We start from the raw sequence: 20,784 nt of genomic DNA on the forward strand, positions 1-20,784 counted from the left end.
TCATTGTTGTACAGCAACAAACATGGAGTACTACCAACCTGGGGAGCTCACCTGATGCTAACAAGACACTACTTACAAAATGAAAAGACAAAGGAAAGGATGAGATAAGATGACGTTCCACATTAAGGCACTGGAACGAATAGCAAACTAAACCTAAAGCAAGCAGAAGGAAGAAAATTAAAATTAGAGAAATTAATATTTTATAATAATAATATTTGTTAGTGTTGAATAATTGATATTAATTCTTGACTAGCTTTTTTAAAAAAGAGAAATATTCACTTTCCAATTTATTCTGTGGGGCCAGTGTTACTTTGATACAAAAATTAGTCCAAATAGCATAGAAAAATAAAACTACTATAAGTATAAATGCAAAATTCCTTAAAAAATACTAACAAATCAGATCTAGCAACATATAAAAGAATTATACACTATGACAAAGTGAAATTTATACAAGTAATCCCAGGTTGGTTTAACAGCCCAAAATCCATTAAGGTGATACATCTTATCCATAGAATAAGAAAAGAGAATTCATGATCATCTCGATAGATTCGGAAAACACATTTAACAGAATCCAAATGCTTTAATGATTAAAAATAAAAATAAAAACTCAATGAACCAGGAATAGAGAACTTTCTACACCAGATACATGGCACCTGTGAAAAGCCAACAGCAAGCAGGCAACTTAATGGTAAAGGATGCTTTCCCGCTATGGTCAGAGATAAGAATAGGATATATACTTTGACCTCTTCTAGTCAACACTGTACTAAAGATTTTATGCAGGGCAAATCGGCAACTAAAATAATAAGAGTCATCCATATTGAACAGGAAGAAATAAAACTTTATTTGAAAATAACATTGTTGTATATAGAAAATTTTAAGGAATCCACCGAACGATAGAACTCGTAAATTATTTCAGCAATATTACAGCAGACAAGGTAAATGTACAAAAATCAATTGCACACATCTGCAATGAAAACCCCAAAATGAATTTAAGAAAACACTTCAATTTAAAATAGCATAAAAAAAGGAAATATTAATTAATTTGGAAAATGTGATACAAGATTTTACTCTGAAAATTAAAAATTATTGTTTAAAGAATATTTAAATAATTAGTAAACACCTTACACCCATGAATTGGACGATTTGATATTGTAGTACTTTACAATTTGAACTACAGATTTGATGAAATCCCTGCAAGTATCCCAACAGACTTGTGTCTAGAAACTGACAAGCTGATTCTAAAATACACATGAAATTGTAAGGGACTCAAAATAGCCAAAATAATCTTGAAGAAAGAAAACATATTAGGATAATTCACACCCCATGCTCCAAACCTTACTGCAAAGTATCAGTAATCAAGACAACACAACATTGATGAAGGAAAAATATATAGATTGATGGAAGAGAATTGAGAGTCCATATATAAAACTATGTGTCTACAGTCAATGGATTCTTAAGGTGGTGCCATGTGCAATTCAATGAGGAAGAGACAGTCTTTGAACACACTGGGTCAACAACGTACACGTGGATCACCACTTGCAAAATAATAAATTAGAACCCTTACCCCAAAGCATACAAAAATATTAACTCAAATGAATTAAAGACACACATGCAAGAGGTAGAATAAAGCATATGGGAAAATCTTCAGGATTTTGGATCTAGCAAAGAAATAGCTGTAACCCCAAAAACATGAGCAACAGAATAAAAATTAGATATTTAAAATTTCTTAAAAATTAAAGACATCGGTGTTTCAGAGGACAACCAAGCAAGTCAAAAGGCAGCTCCAAAATTGTGAGAAGATATTTGAAAAACACGTATCTATATGTCTGTATATATATATGTATCTTGAATATAGAAAAATTGGTTTAACTCCGTCACAAATATCCCAACTCAAAACTGATAAATGATAGGAATAGATGTGTTTCCCAAGAAGATACATGAACGGTCAATAATCCCATAAAAATATACTCAACAGCATCACTCTTCAGGCAACTACAAATCAAAACCACAGTTAGATACTCTATGGCTAGAACTGACCACTTTGGAAAATAATTTGATGGCTTCTAAATATATGAAACATAGAATTGTCATATGACCCAGAAATTTATTCCTAGGTATACACCCAGATTATTGGAAAGAGGTGTTCAAACACAAATTGTACACAAGTATTTTTAGCAGCAGTACCTAAAATAGCCAAAGGCTGAACACAACTCAAATGTCAATAAAAATATTATTGGATAAACAAAATGTTATATCCATGAAATTGAATGTTATACAGTTATAAAAAGAAATAAAGTACCAATACGTACATGAACCTTGATAGCATTATGCCAACTGAACGAAGCCGGGCAGAAAAGGCCACCTATTGTACGATTCTATTTAGATGAAAACAGAATAGGAAAATCTATAGAGACAGAAAACAGATTTGTGGTTGCTTAGGATTGAGTAGGGGATGGGTGCATAGGAGGTTAACAGCTAGGGAAGGTGGGGTTTCTTTTTGAAGTGATGAAAATGCTCTAAAATTCATTGTGATGGTGGCTCCACTTATCTGTGCATATACTAAAAGCCACTGACTTGTAGACATTAATGTGTGCACTCTACACTATGTAAATTATATCTCAATAAATCCTTTCAAAAATACACAGAAGAGTAAGGGGTTTTGGAATGTTGCAACTGGGATGCAGTTTGAAATACTGAATAGGCCTCATCGAGAATGTGAAGTTTCAGTAAAGACCTGAGGAAGTTGAATGAGCTGATCAATGGATATATGGTGGGCTATCTTTCCAAGCCAAAAAATTAACTAGAGTCTTGATCGTAAGGCAGCAGCATGTTGGTATGTCCAGAGGACAGTGAAGTGGCCAGGACCACTGGTAAGATCAAGGGTGAAGATATAAAATAATTTTGGCGGTTAACATGCGGCAGATGATGATGGGCTTGCAGACCATTGTAAGAAATGTTGTTTTTAATGCACATGAAATGGGGAGACAACTCATTATCCCATTATCAATATTTTAATAAATTGGATCCATGAACCAAATCCAATGAGATTAAATCAATTAATAATAATATGCAAATTTGTATTAAAATTACAAGAATTACTTGCACATTTGAGAACAGGAGAGACATGATTTTTATCAGCAATAATAAACATTATTAATTTTAATTGTGATCAGCTAATTGAGATTAATTGCAATACATCTTGATTTATAATGTGACTGTCAAAAGGAAAATATGATTGTAATCTTATACTACATCTATCAATGTCTTTTATTCATAAGAGTATAGAGTAAGCCCCTAGTTTTCAAAGCCAACCTATGAAGCAGTGACATCTTATGCAAGTTTGCTGCTTTCTGCCACAGTGATCCTTGGTCAGTGGGCACAAATTGTTTACAAAGGCCCCTAGGTCTAGAAATAGTTTGGATCACAATGAACACAGAAACACCTTCATCCCTTCAGAAATACCCATCAATTACTTCCAATACAGAATGAAAAATTGACAAAGGAAATATGTGGATTGTAAAAATGCCAGTTAGCTTGCAACTACATGAAAGAAAAATGCCATTTTTATTACATTAGGTCATTGTCTCACATGAGTTTTGGTATAGCAAAATGTTGAACCAAGGGAAAAGAGAGATGAATTAATGAAGTCATAAGATATCAAGAATTTGAAAGAAAAGGCAGGTCATCTTTGAAGGTTAGTGACATAGCATTCATCTTCTGTTGTCACCTTTCCCGTCATTCCCTGTATGCCTGACGGACAGGTTACACTCAAGTTCAGAGAACAGCATGCAAAATTAGCTACCAATTAATCTTTAGGAAGTGAGCTGCATTTCTAGCCAGACTGAGCTTACGTTTTAGCAGGAAGCATTTTTGGGAAATGTTTATGTTAGACTTTGCCCTTCTTGACAAGGTGAGACATAAACGTCTACTTTATAGACATGAATTGAGATGGGAAGATATTTGGGGGAATCATTTACTCAAACGCTAAATAATAAAGGTACACAAAGGGCAAATTATACTAGATTTCTTTCCCACTTGTTTTCTATGTCTCATGCAATTCACCTTGATTCCCTTCAGTTTCTGTTTAATGTAGAAAGTGGCATTTTCATTATTTTAAGCTTCTAGCACAATGAAAGAATTTCTCTTTTTCATGAACAGGATCATACATGAAAAGGAGGAAGAGTGTCCTATATCATATTTATTGTTCAACAAAACACTGCTCCACGGCTTAAATTCAGTTTAAAAAAGAGAATTTGTTGAACATCTAACACATACATAAAAGGCAGTAAAGACACATGAGAAGAGGGCAGGATATTGAAGTATACAGACTTCAATGCTGAGTTTTATATCTTAGGAAGTTACTCCACCTGACAGAAGCTCAATTTCCCCTGATTTAGGAAGGCGATGCTAATGGGTATTGCATAGGTGTAAGTATAAAAATGTTGTATTTAAGAGAATCCCACAAGCTTGGTATAAGGCAGAAAATAAATAGATGCGACATGAATAAGTAGTTTATTACATTTGTATGCTACCTGCGGACTAGAGGAAGCAAGAAACACAGCCACTATGCTTGATTAGCATTATAGAGATGGTACGATGATGGTTGCCAGAAGCTGGGGGGAGGAGGAAATGGGGAAGTATTGTTTAATGGGTATAGAGTTTCAGTTTTACAAGATGAAACGAATTATGGAGATGGATGGTAGGGACGGCTGGACAATGTTATGACTATATTTAGTACCACTGAACTGTACACTTAAAATGGTTAACAGAGTACATTTTATGTTATGTGTATTTTACCACAATAAAAAAATAAAATACCTTAGGAACATTTTCATGAAAAAGCCCACATAAAATTCATTTTAATGCACGTGTTTATGCATAGCTTTCTATTTTTCTCTTTTCTCTTTATATTCCAAATTCTAATCAGAGAAGGGAATCCCCTCTGTACCTCCAGGATATTCAGTAAAGACCACTGGAGGTTCATGCCCTAGTGACAGTGCTCATTTAGCTCCAAATTACAGATGGCTCTAGACTAACTCAACAAAGTTTAAAGAGAAGATTTAAAACAAGACAAATACTCATCCTGAAGTTACTGAACTGCCTGTCACAACATTATTCAAAGGTAGCCAATAAAATCTAGATATTCAATAGCATAACATCAAAATACCCAAAAAAAACTCTGAAATGCAAAGAAGCTGTAAGACATATATAATTAAAATATATATTAACAGGATAAAAATAAGTCATTTATAAATGACAGAAAAGAAGGAAATTTCAAGATCCTTAAAGTAAATATATTTTATAAATACATATAGATAAATACATATATATGTCAAGGTACTTAAATGAAAATTAAATATAGGAGAAAAATAAAAGTTATAAAATGAAAAATGTGACATATATAGATGAAAAATAAATACTTGAAATAAAAATTCCATGAGATAGAATAAGTAATGGATTTTACCCTAACATCAGAACATTTATAGAACAAATTAGAAGCATTACAAACTAAAGGACAAACGGTAAACTAAAATAAGAAAACCAGAAACTCACTCATAGGTCAGACAATGTGCATCAGTGTAACATACATGTAATCAATATCTCAAAAAGGATGGGTGGGGTAATCATAGGTGAATAAGGAATGGTACACTCATTCCTGAGGGCACCGAGGAGGGAGGATAGCTTTAGATTTCTAAGGGAGAGTTTTATCCATTCATGAAGGTCCAAACCCATGACCAAACACCTCCCAGTGAGCCCCACCTGCAACATTGGGGATCAAATTTTAACATGAGATTGGAAGGGGCAAGCATTCAAACCATAGCAAGAGTTAAATTTCCTTTTTAAAAAATTCACTGATATGATTCCATTTCGCCATAGATAAAAACTAGTATTTCAGCCTACCATTGAGTGTGCTTATAGCTCACCAAAAGGGCACTCAGTCTCGGGAATACAGATTTGCATAGAGGTATCCTATTGCAGTCAAAGAAAGAGCAATGAGGGATAGAAAAGGTTAGTGATGGAGACACCAGCGCTGCATTTTGCAACAAACAATGTAAAAACTTTATGGATTGGTTCTGTTAACTTACTTCAGTTTACATTCCTCTCAGGTGGGAGAATCGTTGCGTTTTTTCTTAAGATAGAAAAGCAATTCAGGTAATCTGAAATCTCCACAAGAAGGATAAGAAGCACAGCAGAAACTATTCTAGGCAGGAAGTCAATCCTTTCAACTGTCTGTGCTCCATAGAAACAATTGTCTGCACTGGGAGTCATATGAGGTACAGACCACAGCCAGACCTCTGATCCTCTCATTAGTGATTTCAGAAGAAATTACCAGTCAACTGAGTAACTCACTGAGTATAGTAAACATTTGGCACTGAAAGAGGTTAGATGAATAACTATTTGTATCACCATATTCATGAAGCTGAAATATGTTCCATTACTGGTATCACATCCGAATGGAAGATATTAAAAGGTCTCTCATCTTGTAAGATAGATATGAAAGAATATTTTCTGAGAAATGAAATTATTAACACACCTGCGAGGTGCATGGAAGAGAAAAAAAAGAATAATCACCTTGAGATCTTCTCCTTGATAAGAGAACTCACTAAAAACATAAAGAGAAAAATACAAGTTTAAAATAATTAACCAGAAGAAGATGACTCTAGAGATTTTAAATTGCTGATAAGATTTTAATTTGCTCCAAGTTGAAAATAATTATATTGCTTGTGTTTTAAGGCACATAATGAACAATTATATCACACATGATAGTTTCAGCAGTAAAATAGTATCCGTTAACAGCTGGAACTCATAAAAGCATAGCACAATGTGAAGATGGAATTTGCTAAAATAAACCATCTGCTGAAAACTACTATTCTGCAAATTTAAAAATAAAGTTTAAATGTTATTTGTCTTATTTAATAGGTCTGTGAAAAAAATGCGCTATTTGGAAAGCAGCTGCTACCTTAATTAATTCTTTATATTAGACGGCTGGTTACAATAATTCACAGTAAGGTGCTACATAGATATATTGCTAAATTTTCTGCATATACTATGTATTTGGCTTAAATTAATTGAAATTTTATTGTTAAAATAACAAATGTACATTTCAATGTTTTGACACAAATTGCAAATATACCTTTAAAAAGCGTCTTACACTCTAAATATTATTTGTCACCTATATATTTGTCTTTTCTCTATAGGAAAATTTAAATTTTTCCCTTGAAGCTTTAATTATTTGAGTCTATAAAACAAACTGATAATGTACAAATTAACAGGAAAAAAAGGTTTACAGATATGTGCACAAGTATGCACTTGGAGTTTACATAATATATATATTATATCTATACAAATATTTGTATATTATAAAGAGATATACAAATATATACTCTTTATATAAAAACTCCAGGAAAGGCAAGGTAGTCAACACGCCTATGCTGTCTTGAGGTTGCAGAAAACACAGAGCTGTAGGTTGGTAAATCAGGCTTTGTGGAAGACAGGTGACGACAAGGAAGAAAGAGGAGCCTGGCAGCAGAGGTGGTCTTGTTACATGGATGAAACCTCACAGGGAGCAGCCCTCCTCTTGGGAAGTATAGATAGGAAATGGCTTTTAGAAATGTAAACGTGCCAGGCTCAGTTAATCATTCCTATACCCAGACAAGGGAGTATCTCAGGGAAAGCCTGTCTATATCAATGCAGATTTTCTCTACAAATGCAAATCTCCCCAACAAACACAGCTTTTCAGCTATTCTTGTAGAAGAAGCTATCTCCAGTCTTCCGAGTAGCCATCGTGAAATATGTCAAAAAGCTGGCCAGGCGCATGCCTGTAATCCCAGCACTTTGGGAGGCTGAAGTGGGTAGATCACCTGAAGTCAGGAGTTGGAGACCAGCCTGACCAACATGGTGAAACGCCGTCTCTACTAAATACAAAAAATTAGCCGAGTGTGGTGGTGCATGCCTGTAATCTCAGCTACTTGGGAGGCCGAGCTAGGAGAATTACCTGACCCTGGGAGGCTGAAGTTGCAGTGAGCCAAGATTGTGCCATTGCACTCTAGCCTGGGCAATAAAAACAAAACTCCATCTCAAAAAAATAATGTATTTTAGGGTAATATTTTGAGTATCTTTACCTCCATATGTACAATAAAAATTATTGCGATTTTTAATCTTTTCTGTGGAGAAAACACAGGTGTGATTTCTAGTGTAGCTGAACATCGTTTATTTGACAGTATTGCACTTGTGTGTGGGTGTGTGCGTGTGTAGCTACTTTTTAATTTGGTTCTCACAAAATGATTAGATACTAACAATTAATTCAGTAAAATGTATGTTTTGCAATATTTCTCCATGTTATTATGCTTTAAATTAGTTTAATCATGCCCCTATAATGTGTACATTTTAACCTTTGACTATAGCTCTCAATCTTACTTTGGTTCCTGTATTTGAATTTATGCTAATAAAGTCCCACAGCTTAATAAGATTACATAAATTTTTTGTATAATTTTTACTAGCATTCTGGTGTCATTTTAAATTATGTAATGAAATCCAATTTTAATTTGGATTATTCTTATCTGAGTTAAGGATATAAATTTTTAATTTTCTTATAAATATTACATAATTATTTCTGAACCATACATTGACTAATCTGCCCTTTATATGATGTGTATTATAAGAGCTTGGGATCGTTTCATTTGCAAAGATGAATGCTTGAGAAGTAGATATTTAATCAGAACATTTCAAAATCTACTGGATAACCTAGAATTGAAACATAGCCTATAGGTTGAAAAACTCCTGTAGTGAAGAAAGAAAATAACTAATATACAGTGACAATATAAATATTATAAGTATTTATTTTATTATCACCCTGAAATTTGATAATACAAACATGTAATATCTACATATCATCCATATATCAGGTCATAAAATATCAATACATTCTTCAAAAATTTAGCATAACAGAAAATGCACTCTCTCTCCTTGATGGAATTAAGTTACAAATAAAAGTAAAAATAAGTAGATAAGTAGATGGAAGTAGATGTTTAAAAACAAAGAAAAATATTTGTTTTGGATAACATAAAATCTCAATTGACAATTCCAATATTTCCAGAACTTTGCCTGTCAACTGGTGGAGAGTTTTCCCCAGGAGACATTTGTCAATGTCTAGGGTTATCGTGGGGATGTCAAGACTGGTGGAGGTGTGAAATTTAGAGGTCACAAGAAACACCTAGCATTGCTAGGGCAGCCTCCCACAACAAAGAATCCTCTGGTCCTAAAGGTAAGTAGCACCAAGGTTGAGAAACCATAATCTAGACAGGAAACACTACGTAGCTATTCCAAGTGCTCAGGAAAACACATCAGTGCCCTCGAGGGGAAAAGTGTAAACATTTTAATTGCTGTACATGGTGACACAAATCCATGTTGTTAATCTAAGTGGAAGGGGCTGAAGCACAAAACGTAATTCAAAGAGTTTACTTAAGCCACAGTGAGGACAGCTGCCTGGAAGAAACAGACCCAAGTATCCTTGGATGTGAACTCCCTTTGGAGCTTTGCAACAAGCAGTTTCTTAAAGGTAAAAAAGGGTCCAGAAGTGGGATGATGCAAAGAGGTTTGTCACAAATTCTCATTGGCTTATGGAAATAACATTTATTAGTGACTGGCTATACACGGTTACACTATTATGGGGTGTGGATTATAGTGTCTGGTGTGGCGTTATTGGTTAATTCATAGCTACTGTGGCAACAGCAAGCAGCCTAGATGAACACACAGCTCAAAGAGGAGCAGGACAGAACTGCTGTGTCATTTGAATATCTCTCTGGGCCTGATTATTTCAAAGGACTTGCATTTCTCACATGAAAGTTATTTTCTTTTCTCCATGTCCATAAATGAGAATAAATAGACGTAAAATAGATCTTTTCGAGGATGAAGTAAATGGAATGAAAAACAAAACCCAAGCTGACCGGAAATCATTGAGGGAAGAAAAGGATATAAATATATGTATTTTTCAAAGTGATTTTAAGCTATTAGGAATCAGTTAAATGTTGGGGGAATTTGTCTGATAATGGGCTAAAGGAGAATGTCCCTTTTGCCTTCTGAAGTCTCCCTGAAAATCACTAATAGGAGGCAGATAAATAGTAGAAAAGGCATACAGGTTTCTGCAATGTGTGTACACTGGAACCCTTAGAACGAAGACCCAGTCACACGATGCGTGCAGAAACTTATCTACCACATGAAGTTTACAGAAAAATGGGGTCTTGGATCACAGGGAAAAGAAAGAAAAAGGTTATGTGAGAAAACGACCCTGGCTAGCAACAGTGGACTTATTACATAGGTGGAATCTCACTGGGAGTAGTCCTCAGAGAGAATAGACAGAAAATGTTTCTTTCAGACATTTGGAGACCTCAGCCTCTCAGTTAACCTTTCCTAGATCCAGACAAGGGGGCAGACCTCAGAGAAAACCTGGCTGCATCAGGGCAGATTCTCTACCGATGCAAATCTCCCCAAGACAGCTTTGCAGCTAACATTGCATTTCCAGCCCTTCTCAATAGCCATTTTGAAATATATCAAGGAAATATATTTAGGGGTAAAATATATTAGTTTCCTTCATACAGCTATAAAACATACAGGAATAATTTTTGTCAATGTCTACTACAAATCCAATATAGCAGTAACTATGAAACCCACCAGATATTGATGAAAAAATATGTAGAGTACCTCAATTACAAATGTTGATACTAAAATGCCAAATAAAATACAAATAATATCCAACAATATTTGAAACAATTAGACAAGAAATTGGCAAAAAAAAAAAAAAAATCCACCTTCGGGATGAAAGTGTGTTTCCAAATTTGGTAATCCAGTAATATTAATAATCATATTGATTAGCCCAAATTAAAAATAAATAGGGGATTCTCAGTACATGCTATAATATATTTGTTAAAAGGCAATATTCATGTCTTTAAAGATTTTAAATGCTATAAAGAGTCTGATATTCTATATGCAAACATGTGTATGTCCATTAGAAGAAGAGAGGCCTGATTTTCATATGTTACTACATAGAGATAGAGAAGTGGATACATTAATTTGCATATGCATAGAGAAAGCATAACATAGAAATTGACTATCATATTAAAAGAATTTTAATTCAACAATAAAATAATTCAAAGGTAAAATTTTAGATATTTTTAACAGGTACATTATTAGTATTAGATAATATTTATAATAATTGTGAAAATACTCAGCGCTAAAATAAGATACAATGTCTAAACATCAGTAATAATACTAGTATAAATATTTGCTTGTTTATACAAGGAAAATTCAAGCTCGACCTAAAATTATAAGGGAAATAAAAGAAAAATATTAAGGGAGCTCTTTCACGACATAAACATATATATATAAACACACACATATAACATGTATATATGTTATATGGGATAGATATAGATTTAGCAGGTTATATCTATATTTGTATCTGTAACTACAGCTGTATGTATCCACATTTCTACATATTTACTCAGTGATATAAATATAGACTGGAATAAATATAAAGACATATATGATTCTTGGATAAAAAGGATTTAGTATCATAAAGACAAATTCTTTCCAAATTCACTTATGAATTCACAACAATATACAGTTTCATTAGTATAATTTAATATTTCTAAATAAATTTCAAGATTCATTTAAAGGAATATAAATGTATACAAGCAGTCAAGAAAGAAGCAAGAGGGCACTAAACTAACTTGCTATTAAAATACATTTTTAAACTTAGTCACTAAAACCGAGCAGTACTGATTTGGAGTACTGGAATTTAGGTGTATGGGATCTCAAAAGCACAGAGCTCAAAGGAGACCCCTGTATGCACGAGAGCTTAGGATGTGCTTTAGAAGGCATTACCAAACCACGGGCAAAGTTACCTTAGTGTCTTAGTCTTACTAGGTTTGAAAAGCCAGAGAAAAGACTCAAGACCACCATATAAGAGCAAAACAAAAGGACAGGGAGAGAATGTGAAGATACTGAAACATTTTACATAAAGTTGTATAAAACATATTTTAAAGAAAATATAAAGTTTTGGATATACATCAAAATCAGCAGAGCCACTAAATAAATAAATAGGCATTGTAAAATAACAAGAGAAAATTTAAACGGATTTCTAAAAACATTGACACCTATGATTTTTAAAATATGTTTAAGAAATCCCATATTTCACAGGGCAGCCTTTCACAACACAGATATGTTAGGACATAAAGGTCCTTCTGTTTTTAATTTACTAGTGTTTATAGGGTTACAAATGTCTTCTACCCTTGTCTTTTGTCTGATGGTGCAAAAATTTTTCATAAGCATGTATTTCTGAATGCCTGATGGATTGACATATATAATATGTTGCTAGTATTAAAATATGAGATGGAAAACGCATCCAATCTTCTCACTGTTTACAGAAATTCTAGGTTTCTCCTATTTACCTCAAGCACATATGGAGCGAATTCTTACCTTTTAATATTGCCATGGCATTCACATTGAACATAAGTTGAACTCTCTCATATGGTAGCTGGGTTCGGATTCTCTTGACAATTTCCAGTTCTAACCCTCACACTTCCTCAGTGTGGTTGGCCCAGATATTGACCCTACACAGTTATCTCCTCGTGGTGACTACCAGCTATGGAACCGTTGGATACAACCTACCTGACTCACCCCACAGACCTCACAGCGCACATGGACAGCCCCCACACGCCACAGTAACCTGCTCGCTTGCAGCGGGAGTCAAGAAATGTGCCTGCTGGCACTCACCCCACCGACTAGTGCCCCGTGGAAAACTTATTTGGGTAATGTTCTGGGCCAAATATGGCTGGAGTCCCACAGACCCCTTTTCTCTCTCCTGCTCCCCACTCATCTTCCCCATTTTGTTCAGCCCTATGAGGTGTGCTACTGTATTAGTCCATTTTCACACCGCCGGTAAAGACATGCCCAAGACTGGGTAATTTCCAGAAGAAAGAGGTTTAATAGACGAACAGTTCCACATGGCTGGGTAGGCCTCACAATCATGGTGCAAGCTGAAAGGCACGTCTCACATGGCAGCAGACAAGAAAAGAGAGCTTGTGCAGGGAAACTCCCCTTTATAAAACCATCAGATCTTGTGAGACTTATTCACTATCAGAAGAACAGCATGGGAAAGACCTGCCCCCATGATTCAATTACCTCCCACCTGTTCCCTCCCACAACATGTGGGAATTCAAGATGAGATTTGGCTGGGGACACAGCTAAACCCTCTTCTCAGCTACCCTCTTCTCTCTGGATCTGTGAGTAATAAACCTACTTCTGTGATTTCCCATGTTTGGTTCTGTGGCCTCCATGTGTCTGAGCTGACCTACACTAGAACCTAACTCTCCTCCTGGCCAGGGTCTCTGAGAGTGGCTCTTGTCAGAAATACACAGGACACAGGTCAGGCAACAGTCACCAGGCATCTCCTAGTCTCAACAGATGTTCTGTGAGAGGGAGGCCTGGTCGTGGGATGCACACCTGGCCACCACTGGGGTAAGGAAGTGTCCTGTGAAAGGCACATGTTAAGCATCCACAACCCCCTGACCAGAACCCCAGAAAGGCAGGGATCCAATTGACAGTCACTCTCCAGAGACAAACCTGAAGCCCTAACTGGAGGAAAAGACAACAATGTAAAAAGTTGAATTTATCTTACTATTTCAATGATCCAGTAAAGACATTCTATGCCTGTACACCACATATTTTCTTCGATTGTGGATTTATTTTAGATAGAATTTTAGGTCTGGCTTTCACTTTAGCCTGGTCCCTACCTCAAGCATAAGGTAAAGATTTTCCATGGGTTCTTTTCTGGTACTACTACCTGCCAGTGTGGGGTCATGTCCTAGTCTATCTTGAGGGAATCCCCCTGTTCATTATTGTCAGAGTGAGACTGTTAAGTCTTGATTTCCCTGGACAACTTCACTGCATGACTTTTAATATGATTTTTTAATATACCCTTTACTGGACAATAAATTCTATAGTTATCTGAGTAAGAGATATGCTCAGGAAGAGGCATTGCCTCATTCAGCTTTTCTCTTTGGTGAACTCGCATATGTTCTCCTCACCCGCCAGTCACCCCTAAACCGTATTGTTCCAAGACAACAAACAGAACTCGAGTGTTTATCTTTCACCACTGGATTTGTGTTTGCTCCATAAAGCTTCATGCTTAACAGAGTTTCTGTTAGCATTTTCTCTATTTATTTTCCCATAAAATATCACAGGCCTTCTTCTTATGGAATTATGGGTGATTTCCTTCAATCTGCATCATATCAAGTTGAGGTTCATGTTGATGAAAAGTAAAACATACGTTGAAAATATCAGTAAGGATGTTTTCCCCTCCTTTTTAGCACCTGTGCTTGTGATACAAGCACATTTTAATACAATTGTAGTCTCATGCTTTGATCATTCCTATGATGAAAATAACATTTTTAGATAAAATATCTGAGTTTTATGAGGCCTTTAGTATGTGATGTGATAGAATATCAGAAGACCATACTTTTTTCTAGTTGTCCGTGCAATTCTATCATTGTTTCATCTTTACTCCTACCAGAGTAATTTTCCAAAATAGATATCTTGTCATTCTTCCTGTTGTTATCAGTAAATAAGTGAAATGAAAAGCTAGATTATATAATTTATCTAGAACAAGAAAGTAGAATTGAATCTATATTCATTAATGAGACTAGTCAATTACACAGACAGGCATTTTACATTTTGAAGATCATATGGACCCATTGTCAGAAATATTATTATTTATGTCTATATGGACATCACCTGTGCATATTTACATAGAAATCAATGATAGTTGATGTTTATTTTTATTATATATATTTTTTGAGATGGGGTCTTGCTTTGTTGCCTAGGCTGGAGTGTAGTGGTGCAATCACTGCTCACTGCAGCCTCAGCCTCCCAAGCTCAAGCAATCCTTCCACCTTGGCCTCCCAAATGGCTAGGACAACAGGTGCACATCACCTTGCCCACTTTTTTTTTTTTAACTTTTGATAGAGACTGGGTCTTGCTATGTTGCTCAGGTTGCTTGTGAACTCCAGGGCTCAAGGAATCCTCTCATGTCAGGCTCTTCAACTGCTGGTATTACAAGCATGAACCACCATATGGGCTGGAAGCTGATTTTTAAAATACTGAGATCATATAGATGACAGCATCTGAAAAATAGACAACACCAAGTTTTACGTTAAAAGGTGTGAGGGTAGCAATATGGTTGTGGCTATTGGGGAGGAAACCATTAGTAAAACCAGTAAGTTAAAGCTCTTGCTTTAAACTTTGGCTATAATTTAACAAATGTTCTATGGAGTGACAGTATGTATGTAACCATGCTATACCCATTCACAGATGCAGTAGAGGGAAGAATTTCTCAAAGACAACTGTTCTAAGACTCAAATTAAACCGTCCTGGGTTTGAAAAGAGAAAGTCCAGGAATTACCAAATATTTTAGATATCAGATACAAGAGAATGCCAGGTATGCGATGATAATCAGCAATGGTTGTTCACACAATACATCAAATCAGTATTTGAATTAGCTTCTGAATTACAAGGACAAATGGATCAAGTCTAGACTCTTTAGTAGAGAAATCTTATCAGGCTGAGATGTGTTTTCCCCTGTTTTTCCACAAGGAGATTACTAATTTGGAAACCTCAGCTGCTCTTATTTTATGCTCTCACCAAGCCAAAAGCTGAAGTTCATCAATCAGTGTGTCTAAGTGTTCACTGGTTATATACCATTTTGTAGTTTCAGCTATCTTTCCAACTTCCTAAATCATCACCTTCATTTGATCTTGTTTTTTTCCACTATCACTTCTTTATTGACCATATAAAGAATATAAGTAAGTTCTTATTTTGTTATTGTTCATTTTAGTCTAATTTCATCAAAAGATCACAATCTTTTAATTTCATTTTAATTTCAAAGATTAAATGAAACCTACATAGAAATGAGTGTAAGATTTGCATTTGCATTATTTTGGCATCAATTTGCTATCCTCCCTCATGCACATAGAGATCATTTCCATGTATGTGATTTCAAACATCCAAGGGCAGTATTAAAAGCAGTTGTAAATTATGGTTCTCATTTTCATGATACAATTACAATATAAACTTCCTCTTGCTGCTGTAACCAATTACCACAAACTTCATATATTACAATAAAGTGACCGTTAATCCAACAGTTCTGTAGTACAGAAGCCTTAAATGAAACTAGCAGGGCTAACATCAAGTTTTGGGTAGGGCTGCAGTCTTTCTGAGGGCTATGTGGCATAATCTATTACTTGATATTTTTCAGCATCCAGAGGCCACCTTTATTCTTTGGAACATGACCTCATTCTTATATCCTATTTTTCTTTTTTTTTTTTCAGATGGAGTCTCCTTCTGTCACCAAGGCTGTAGTGCAGTGGCACGATCTCAGCTCACTGCAACCTCTGCCTCCCGGGTTCAAGTGATTCTTCTGACTCAGCTTCCTGAGTAGCTTGGACTACAGACACTTGCCACCACACCCAGTTAATTTTTTGTATTTTTAGTAGGGATGGGGTTTCACCATGTTAGCCAGGATGGTCTCGATCTCCTGACCTCGGGATAAACCCACCCTAGCCTCCCAAAGTGCTGGGATTAGGCGTAAGCCACCCCACTGGGTCCTCATTCTTGTATCTTAAAAGTCAGTGATGTTGAGTAATTTCTCATGCCACCACCTCCAAGGTTGCCTTTCTTCTGCCTTCTTCTTTCACTTAAAAGGAAGTTTGTGATTTCATTGATCCCACCCATTTAAGACAATCTCTCTATCGTTTTTCTGCAACCTTAATTTCACTTGAAATCTAATTTCACACTGCCGTGCAACCTAACATATTTGTATGTTAGACTCTGGGAATTAGGACATGAAAATTTTTGGGAGGCCATTCTTTGGCCTACAGCAGACATAATCTATTTACCTGCAGATTAAAGCTTTCTATATGTTTCTGACTCCCTCTCTTAATTTTCTAAAATAATATTAATTGCAATAAAGAGAAAGAAAGAAAAGAAAACAAAGAAAGAAAAAGATGGAAGGAAAGAAGGAAGGAAGGAATAAAGAAAGAAAGAGAAAAGAAGGAGGAAATGAGGGAAGGATGGGAGGGAGGGAGGAAGGGAGAAAGGCAGGAAGGGAGAAAACAGAAAACATGAACACAAGAAAGAAAGAAGGAAAGGAAGGGAGGAAGGAAAGGAGGAAGAGAGAATGGTAAAAGGGAGGAAGGCAAAGAAACAAAGAAAAGAAACAGGCGAAGGAAGGAAAGAAAAAGAGGAAAGGAAGGGAGGGAGGAAGGAAGAAAAAAGGAAAGAAAGCAAGAACGTGAGAAAGAAAGAAAGAATATGAGAAAAGAAGGAAGAAAAGGGAGGGAGAAAGGAAGGGAGGGATTAGGGAAGGAAGAATAAGAGGAAAGAAACAAAGAAGGAAAGAAGGAAGGAAGGAGAAAAAAAGAAGGAAAAGAAAGAAAGGAAAAGAAAAAAGAAAAGGAAGAGGAAAAGAAGAAAGGAAGGAAGAAGGCAAGTGAAGGGAAGAGAAGAGAAAGGAAGATGGAAAGAAGTAAGGAAGAACGCTAATGTTATAAATTCTGGGTTTGTTAGAGAATATGCCATATTGTTTTTTTTTCACTAGAAAGGAAAGATTATCTGCCATTGAAGATTGGATGTCTTGTTGGTGATATTGTTGTTCTTAACTTCCACATGATTATTGAGTTTGTGCCTTGTCTTTCCATTACTAAGACAAAAGTGTTGAAGTCTGCAAATATAATTTTGATTTTTTCTAGTTCACCTTTGATTTCTTTCTTGTTTTACCTCATGTATTTGGAGGTTCTGTTGTTAGCTGCATACCCTAATTAGTAGGATGTTTACATCTTCTTGTATGTAATTGATGATTCTATTATGTATTATCTCTCATCTCTGATACTATTTCTTGTTCCGAACTCTGTTGTGGCTAATATCGATGTAGTCCTTCCACAGCCTTATTTTAGTGTTTCCATGATATGGCTTTCTCCATATCTTGATGATAACCTATTTATATCTCTATATATTTGGAGCAAGATATAAAATTTAGACCTGACTTTTTAAAGATTTTTCAAGATGTAATTCTTATTTCTTTTTGTTCTATTTGACATTCTCTGAGTTTCCTATATTTGAAGTTTGATTTTCTGTCACTTCTTTTACAATATTTTTGGCAGTTATTTTGAAAAATATTTCTTTTGCTCCATTATTTTTCCCTCTTTTCTTTTTGGGATTTCAATCATAACTAGAGTAGGTAATTTGATCTCAGTCTTATGCAGGTACTTTTTCTCAGGGTCTCAGGAATGTAACCTTCTCACACTTCTGTTCTTTTCCTGGCTGTGTTGGTGAGCTCAGTGATATTCCTCCTTCACCTTCTAGAGCAGGTTTGTTTTGTTTTTCTTGTTTTCATACTCCCAGCATCAGGAGTATTCTAAGTGTGGCAGTTTTTGTTGCCTTCCCCTACATATTAAGTGGAATATCTTGCTCTATTTGGACTCTTATAACAAAATAACATAAACTGAGTGACTAAAAAGCAACAGATTTTTTTTTCACACTTCTTGAGGCTGTAAGATCTCAGGTCAAGATGCTCACAAATTCAGTGTTGATGAGAGCCCATTTCATGGTTCATAGATAGTGCCTTCTTTCTATGTCCTCACGTAGTGGAAGGCACACAAGAACTCCATTGAGCTTCTTTTATAAAGACACTAACCCCATTCATATGGGCTCGACCCCCAAGACCTGGTCACCTCCGAAGTGTTCTGCTCTCCCTGATCTGTGTCATATACAGACTCTCTTGAATTCCTTACCAATTGCTTGAGAGATCGCATTGAGTTTGTGGGGAAAATGTTTTCAAGATGGTGGATCTTTCCCAACTTCTGCAGCTGTCAGCGGTCTCCCAATCTCACCAGCCCCACTTTGTCTTTAGGAATTTATTGATTATTCCAGCTTTACTTGTCATAGTGGTGTCTATACGCATCTGTCCTATGTAAGTGCGTCTGTCCTTTTTCTCCTTGCAGGTGCAAGTACTCAGGAGTACACTGTTGTTACTAATTACTCAGTATTGGTTGGTACATTGTCAAAGACCAAAGAACATTTTTAAAGATAAAAAAAAGTCTTGGAGGTTGTGTAATGAAGGGTTAATTCTGCAGACATGGCTTTCCAAAATCTTGCGCATTCCAAAGGTCTTCAGGACTGGCCCTTGACAAGCTCCTGGGAGATGTTAACCTATGAGCCCTTGGTATATGTTGCCTGATGTGAGTCTTTGCATACATGAAAACGTAGGTCATATCAAATAGCTGATGCTAACAACGTGATTTCTTGTGAGCACCTGTTTCTGTATGCCTATGACTTTGTGTAATGCCATATTAATATGACCTCTCTTAACGCATAGGGAGGTTGGGAACTGAGTAGCTATGTTCAGTCACAGGACGCTTGATGCATATGTGGCGGAATCCTAATAAAAACCCTGGACTCAAGACTGACTGAGCTTCCCTAGTTGGTAATAAGTTCACACATGTCTCACACCATTGTAAAGAAAATTAGTCAGTGTGAAGTCCCCACTATGAAAGGACACCTGTAAGCTCACATCTGGTTTGTCCTGGACTCAACTTTATGTGCTTTTATGCTTCTGATTATTTTAATCTGGTTTCTTTCACTGTTAGAAACTATAACCACAAAAAAAAATCAGCTTTCTTGGGTTATGTGAATCATTAAGCCAAAGGGGGACTTGGGGACCCCCAATAAAATGTATATATATTCTTAAAAAGAAAAAGTAAACTGGCTATAGCAGATATTGCTGATGACTTGTCTTCTATGTCCTGGACTCAATGTGTTCATCTGAAATTCACCTGATTCCAGCTAACTGAGAGCTCCCCACATCATGCCTGTCTTTCTGATTTTTGGGCCTGCCTGCAAGCTTCTTGAGGCTAACCAGTGCTTCTCAACCACACATAGGAACAAAGAAGGAGTTAGGGGTGGAGAGTTAATGATTCTAAGGCAATCCTTAAGCAATAAGAGATGGGGATTCCAGCATCCCCATCTCTTTGTAAAGTTATTTTGACACAATCTCCATACCTCCATCATTACTGAGCACACAGTAGTAACTACTCATTGACACTGGCTTCGTGTTCTGTTTCATTTTCTCCACTTCTGTGCTTTCTCACTCAATTTCTGATTAAAGTATCTGACCCCAGATATTTGTTTCATAGTCTATTTTTGAGGGAATCCAGAGCCAAGACAATAACAATGGGAGCTTTGCAATGAGGGAGGGTGAGTATAATCATCAGAAGGTTACCTACCTCACTGGGAACATGGAGGCCTGGAGAGCTTGCTGTTTCAATGAGAGAAACATGTTGAATCTCAGTTCAATACATATATATATATGTGCAATAAGACGTGCCCTTTATTTATATCAAAGGAAAGTGCTCTTTACCTCTCTTTGTTGTTGTGTTTTTATCACTATTGCCTACACAAGCAGAATATCATACCCAGGATTTAAAGCCCTCTCTGCAGGATTTTCAAGCTCATGTTTTTATCATAAGTCACTCTGCTTCCATGTGTTTTCAATCTAATCCTCATTCCTCTGCTTTTACACCAGAGAATTCATCACTGACTTATTTTTGACTGACCTTCTTATAGAGCTGTCAAGTACACAATTTCTGCTGTGACCTTTCTCTTAGAGTTCAGTCATATAGCCTCTCACTAGATATCATTTCCTCTTATCTTTCCTAATAATGAATTGTCAGT

The sequence above is a fragment of the Homo sapiens genome, chromosome 1 (assembly GCF_000001405.40).
Source record: "Homo sapiens chromosome 1, GRCh38.p14 Primary Assembly".
In the NCBI taxonomy this organism is placed as follows: domain Eukaryota; kingdom Metazoa; phylum Chordata; class Mammalia; order Primates; family Hominidae; genus Homo; species Homo sapiens.